The following is a 6,606-nucleotide window of genomic DNA, read 5'->3' on the forward strand; positions in this document are numbered from 1 at the left end:
AGGAGAAAACAAACAAATAAAACAACTAGTATGGAAGCTAGAATAATGTGATGCACCATTACACCAAATATTCAGTCTTAACATGGTTTTTAATATTATGTAAACATGGAAGGTATTGCCATTGTTCATATGATACAGAATCAATGGCACTCACAAGCATCTGAATATGTTGAAAAATGGCACCTTCAAATAAAAATTATGAAAACTTCAATAAAATATTGAACTCTATTCACCAAGGGTTATACCATTAGCACTATGGCATGATGGTTTCCTCCCTCAGCACACATCAGTTATTACCCTATGACTTGGTAGCTGGAAGATTCACACTTTCGAGATTTTACCCTCATCACATACCTTTGTCCTATTGCATGCATGTGTTAACAAAATATTGAAAATGATTTTTGTGTTATACACACTCCAATGACTAAAAATTTAAAGTTGCCTTTTTACCACATCTTTTAACAGCATTTTGTGATATCCGACCATGAAGTTATGTCTATTGTGTGTCTTTTATCACACAATGTGAATCTAGTTAGGAATCGCAGGAGCTTCCTCATTTGACACCAGTGGGTGTTTCACACTGTGCAATCCCCTTCCTGTGAGTGGGAAGCCTCACTCTGACCCACCACGAAACCATCACAAAAGCCCTGAGCCAGTCTGCTTTCTGGCTCTATCGAGCCATTTTGGGTGTTCCTTAGAGACCAGCACTAATCTCAACAGACCCCTCAAGAGGTAATTAACTTTTCCATATTCACATCGAGGGAGTATGCAGCACCCACAGATGTGACATCCACATGACATTTTAGTTGAGATCCCTTCGCCTTTTTGAGGTGTCAACTAGAACTGACGCTGTGAGCTTGTTGTCATGGCTGCTAAACACAGGACCCACCTGTTCCCTGAACCAACTCCAGGACAGAGCTGGACATGCCTGGTGTGGTTTGATAAACCCCCATTTTTAATAAAATCATGACATTATTTTGCTGTATTCTAGTGTTTCCCTAAAAATACAGGTAGACCCAGCGTGTATTCATGTATATATTCAGGAGTCACTGATTTCTCATAGATATTTAATGGAATATGTAATCCTTTCTTTAAATTATACTTTACGTTCTGGGGTACATGTGCAGAATGTGCAGTTTTGTTACATAGGTATACACACGCCATGGTTGTTTGCTGCACCCATCAACCTGCCATCTACCTTAGGTATTTCTCCTAATGCTATCCCTCCCCTAGCCCTTTACCTCCTGACAGGCCTCAGTGTGTGATATTCCCCTCCCTGTGTCCATGTGGTCTCATGGTTCAACTACCACTTACGAGTGAAAACAACGGTGTCTGGTTTTCTGTTCTTCTGTTAGTTTGCTGAGAATGATGGTTGTCAGCTTCATCCATGTCCCTGCAAAGGACATGAACTCATCCTTTTTTATGGCTGCATAGTATTCCATGGTGTATATGTGCCACATTTGCTTTATCCAGTCTATTATTGATGGACATTTGGGTTGGTTTCAAGTCTTTGCTATTGGGAATAGTGCCGCAATAAACACACGGGTGCATTTGTCTTTGTAGTAGAATGACTTACAATCCTTGGGGTACATACCAAGTAATGGGATTGCTGGGTCAAATGGTATTTCTAGTTCTAGATCCTTGAGGAATCGCCACACTGTCTTCCACAATGGATGAACTTATTTACACTCCCACCAACAGTGTAAAAATGTTACTATCTCTCCACATCCTCTCCAGCATCTGTTGTTTCCTATTTAATGGTCACCATTCTAACTGGTGTGAGATGGTATCTCACTGTGGTTTTGATTTGCATTTCTCTAGTGATCAGTGATGAGGAGGATTTTTTCATGTTTTTTTGGCTGCATAAATGTCTTCTTTCGAGAAATGTCTGTTCGTATCCTTCACCTACTTTTTGATGGGTTTTTTTTTCTTGTAAATTTGTTGTAGATTCTGGATATTAGCCCTTTGTCAGATGGATAGATTGCAAAAATTTTCTCCCATTCTGTAGGTTGCCTGTTCACTCTGATGATAGTTTCTTTTGCTGTGCAGAAGCACTTTACTTTAATTATATCTCATTTATCAGTATTAGCTTTTGTTGCCATTGCTTTTGGTGTTTTAGACTTGAAGTCTTTGCCCATGCCTATGTCCTGAATGGTATTGCCTAGATTTTCTTCTGGGATTTTTATGGTTTCAGGTCTTGATAAGTCTTTCATCCATCTTGAGTTAATTTTTGTATAAGCTGTAAGGAAGGGGGTCCAGTTTCAGTTTTCTGTATATGGCTTGCCAGTTTTCCCAACACCACTTATTAAATAGTTCCGGAATTCTTTCCCCATTGTTTGTTTGTGTCAAGATTGTCAAAGATCAGATGGTTGTAGATGTGTGGTGTTATTTGGGAGGCCTCTGCTCTGTTCCATTGGTGTATATATCTGTTTTGGTACCAGTACCATGCTGTTTCAGTTACTGTAGCCTTGTAGTATAGTTTGAAGTCAGGTAGCATAATGCCTCCAGCTTTGTTTTTTTTTTTTTTTTTGCTTAGGAATGTCATGGCTATGCAGGATTTTTTTTGGTTCCATATGAACTTTAAAATATTTTTTTCCAATTCTGTGAAGAAAGTCATTGGTAGTTTGATGGGGACAGCATTCAATCTATAAATTGCTTTGGGCAGTATGGCCATTTTCATGATATTTATTCTTCTTATTCATGAGCATGGAATGTTTTTCCATTTGTTTCGGTCCTCTCTTATTTCCTTGAGCAGTGGTTTGTAGTTCTCCCTGAAGAGATCCTTCACATCCCTTGTAAGTTGTATTCCTAGGTATTTTATTTTCTTTGTAGCAATTTTGAGTGGGAGTTCACTCATGATTTGGCTCTCTGTTTTTCTGTTATTGGGTTATAGAAATGCTTGTGATTTTTGCACATTGATTTTGTATCCTGAGACTTTGCTGAAGTTGCTTATCAGCTTAAGGAGATTTTGGGCTGAGACGATGGGGTTTTCTAAATATACAATCGTGTCATCTGCACACAGAGACAATCTGACTTCCTCTTTTCCTATTTTTATACAATTTATTTCTTTCTCTTGCCTGATTACCCTGGCCAGATCTCTCAATACTATGTTGAATTGGAGTGGTGAGAGAGGCATCGTTGTCTTGTGCTGGTTTTCAAAGTAAATGCTTCCAGTTTTTGCCCATTCCATATGATATTGGCTGTGGGTTTGCCATAAATAGCTTTTATTATTTTGAGATACATTCCATGGATACCTAGAGTATTGAGTTTTTAGCATGAAGTGGTGTTGAATTTTGTTGAAGTCCTTTTCTGCATCTATTGAGATAATCATGTGGTTTCTGTCATTGGTTCTGTTTATGTGATGGATTACACTTATTGATTTGCATATGTTGAAACAGCCTTGCATCCCAGGGATGAAGCCGACTTGATCGTGGTGGATAAGCTTTTTGATGTGCTGCTGGATTCGGTTTGCCAGTATTTTATTGAGAATTGGTGCATTGATGTTCATCAGGGATATTGGCCTGAACTTTTTTTTTTTTGTTATGTCTCTGCCAGGTTTTGGTATCAGGATGATGCTGGCTTCATAAAAAGAGTTAGAGAGGAGTCCCTCTTTTTCTATTGTTTGAAATAGTTTCAGAAGGAATGGTAACAGTTCCTCTTTGTACCTCTGGTAGAATTTGGCTGTGAATCCATCTGGTCCTGGACTTTTTTTGGTTGGTATGCTATTAATTACTGCCTCAATTTCAGAATTTGTTACTGTTCTATTCAGGGATTCGACTTCTTCCTGCTTTAGACTTGGGATGGTGTATGTGTCCAGGCATTTATCCACTTCTTCTAGATTTTCTAGTGTATTTGCATAGAGGTTTTTATAGTATTCTCTGATGGTAGTTTGTATTTCGGTGGGATCAGTAGTGATATCCCCTATATTACATTTTATTGCATCTATTTGATTCTTCTCTCTTTTCTTCTTTATTAATATGGCTAACTTTCTATCTATTTTGTTGATGTGCTGTATTCAGGAGACCCATCTCATGTGCAAAGACACACATAGGCTCAAAATAAAGGGATGGAGGAATATTTACCAAGCAAGTGGAAAGCAAAAAAAAAAAAAAAGAAAGAAAAAAAACAAAAGCAGGAGTTGCAATCCTAATCTCTCATAAAACATTTTAAACCAAAAAAGATCAAAAGAGACAAAGAAAGGCACTGCATAATGGTAAAGGGATCAATGCAGCAAGAAGAGCTAAATATCCTAAATATATATGCACCAAATACAGGAGCACCCAGATTCATAAAGGAAGTCCTTAGAGACCTACAAAGAGACTTAGACTCCCATACAACAAGAGTGGGAGACTTTAACTCCCCGCTGTCAATATTAGACAGATCAACGAGACAGAAAATTAACAAGGATATTTAGGACTTGAAGTCAGCTCTGGACCAAGCAGACCTAATAGATATCTACAGAACTCTCCACCCCAAGTCAACAGAATATACATTCTTCTCAGCACCTCATCGCACATATTCTAAAACTGACCACATAATTGGAAGTAATACACTCCTCGCCAAATGCAAAAGAACAGAAATCATAACAAACAGTGCAATAATCAAATTAGAACTCAGGATGAAGAAATTCACTCAAAACTGCACAACTACATGGAAACTGAAAAACCTGTTCCTGAGTGTCTACTGGGTAAATAAAGAAATGAAGGCAGAAATAAAGATGATCTTTGAAACCAATGAGAACAAAGACACAACATATGAGAATCTCCGGGACACATTTAAAGCAGTGTGTAGAGGGAAATTTATAGCACTAGATGCCTACAAGAGAAAGCAGGAAAGATCTAAAACTGACACCCTAACATCAAAATTAAAAGAACTAGAGAAGCAAGAGCAAATTCAAAAGCTAGCAGAAGAGAAGAAATAACTAAGATCAGAGCAGAACTGAAGGAGATAAAGACATGAAAATCAACTCCAAAATATCAATGATCCAGGAGCTGGTTTTATGAATCTTTAATTCTGTGTTGAGAAATTTAAAATTTCTTTAGTTTGATGATTGAAGTCCTTATGCCATCGTTCTGAGATTTTCTTTTTTATTTCTCATATATTTTATCCATCTCTAAATTCTTTTCTACCAAATTATATATGTTTCAATTTGTAGTATTTTAATAAGTTGAAATTAGAAAGTAACTATCTTCCCTTAATGTGTACCATTTAACAAATAATGACATAACCATAACTTTTCTCAAAACAGAAAAAATTATCCTCAAAATTTCCTCTTGTTGTCCTGTAATTTCCACTTCCTACACCTTCCCTTCTCATACCATGACCACGGCCAACTACTGGTTTTCATTATGTAACTTTAGATTAGTTTTCATTTTATAGAATTTATAAAAGTGGAACTGTATGTATGTACTTGTATTTCTTTGGTTTATGTTACTCGTCATAAGTACTTGTGAATTTACCCTTGTTGCTCATTTCCAGCAGTACTTGTTTGAACAGTGGGTATTATTCAAGTGAATGAATTTAGAACAAAGTGTTTACTGCTTAACCTGCTGATCAATATTTGGATTGCTTTCAGTATCTGGGTATTATAAAGAAAGGTGCTACTCAGCTTAGAGAACTACACAGTTGAGAAAGACAATGTTCTTATTCCTACATCAACGTGAACAGCAGTTAAACTGAAAAAGCTGCACTTCAATACATTTTCTTCAACACATCAGGTAATTAAAGTTGTAGAACTCTTTGTGTGTGTCAGTTTGTGTGTGAGAGAGGAGGGAGGAAGGGACACAGAACAAGTGAGAGATCCTACATAACTGACCATAATTTATGAGGTGCTCAAATATATACAAGGACTTAGTCCTGAAGGACAAGGTCCACATTAGATGGAGAGGACAACTTGGTGCACCTACGTGTGGCTATATATTTATATAAATATCATTGTCTAATAATACAATAATATACATTAGAATAAATATGGTGGAGAGTAAAATATGTCAGTGATGAAAAACCCCACCTCCAGCACCTTTTTTCCCCTCTTGCACCTGCCTTAATGTGTCCTGAGCGCCCCTTGGTGACCTGAGCACCCCCTGGTGTTCTGAGCTTCCCTGCAGGGAGGTTTGTGTCTGGCCCCACAATGACTTCCCCCTCTGTGTCTTTTGCATAAAAATCCATGGTGGTGTACTCATTGCACATGTAGCTCAGCTGTAGGAAAAACTGCTTTCTGAATGTGTATCTGGAGGTGGTGACTGGACTCTTGAGAAGCGGGTGGTACTGTGTGCTTCCTCATGACCTACACACCTGACCCACTTCAGCTCCTTCCCTGGGGGCTGGCAGATCCAGCTCCAGGAGGAAGTACTGGTTATGATCGGAAATCCAGAGGCGGCACAGGTGAAGGAGAGGGTCTCTGAGGGCTTTACTAGAACATGACTGCACTGAAAAACACAATTTTTGTCATACGCAGCATCTGAATGACATTTTGATGAGAACGATCCCAGGCTAGAAGCATCAATAACAAGGTTGACATCAGTGTAAGGTTGGACAGGCAGTTGCTGTGCAGATATTTTCACAGAAGTAATTATTTTATTGTTGTGGTTGTCTTTGTGCAAGGTT

This window comes from Homo sapiens, chromosome 16 (assembly GCF_000001405.40).
Source record: "Homo sapiens chromosome 16, GRCh38.p14 Primary Assembly".
NCBI classification, from domain to species: domain Eukaryota; kingdom Metazoa; phylum Chordata; class Mammalia; order Primates; family Hominidae; genus Homo; species Homo sapiens.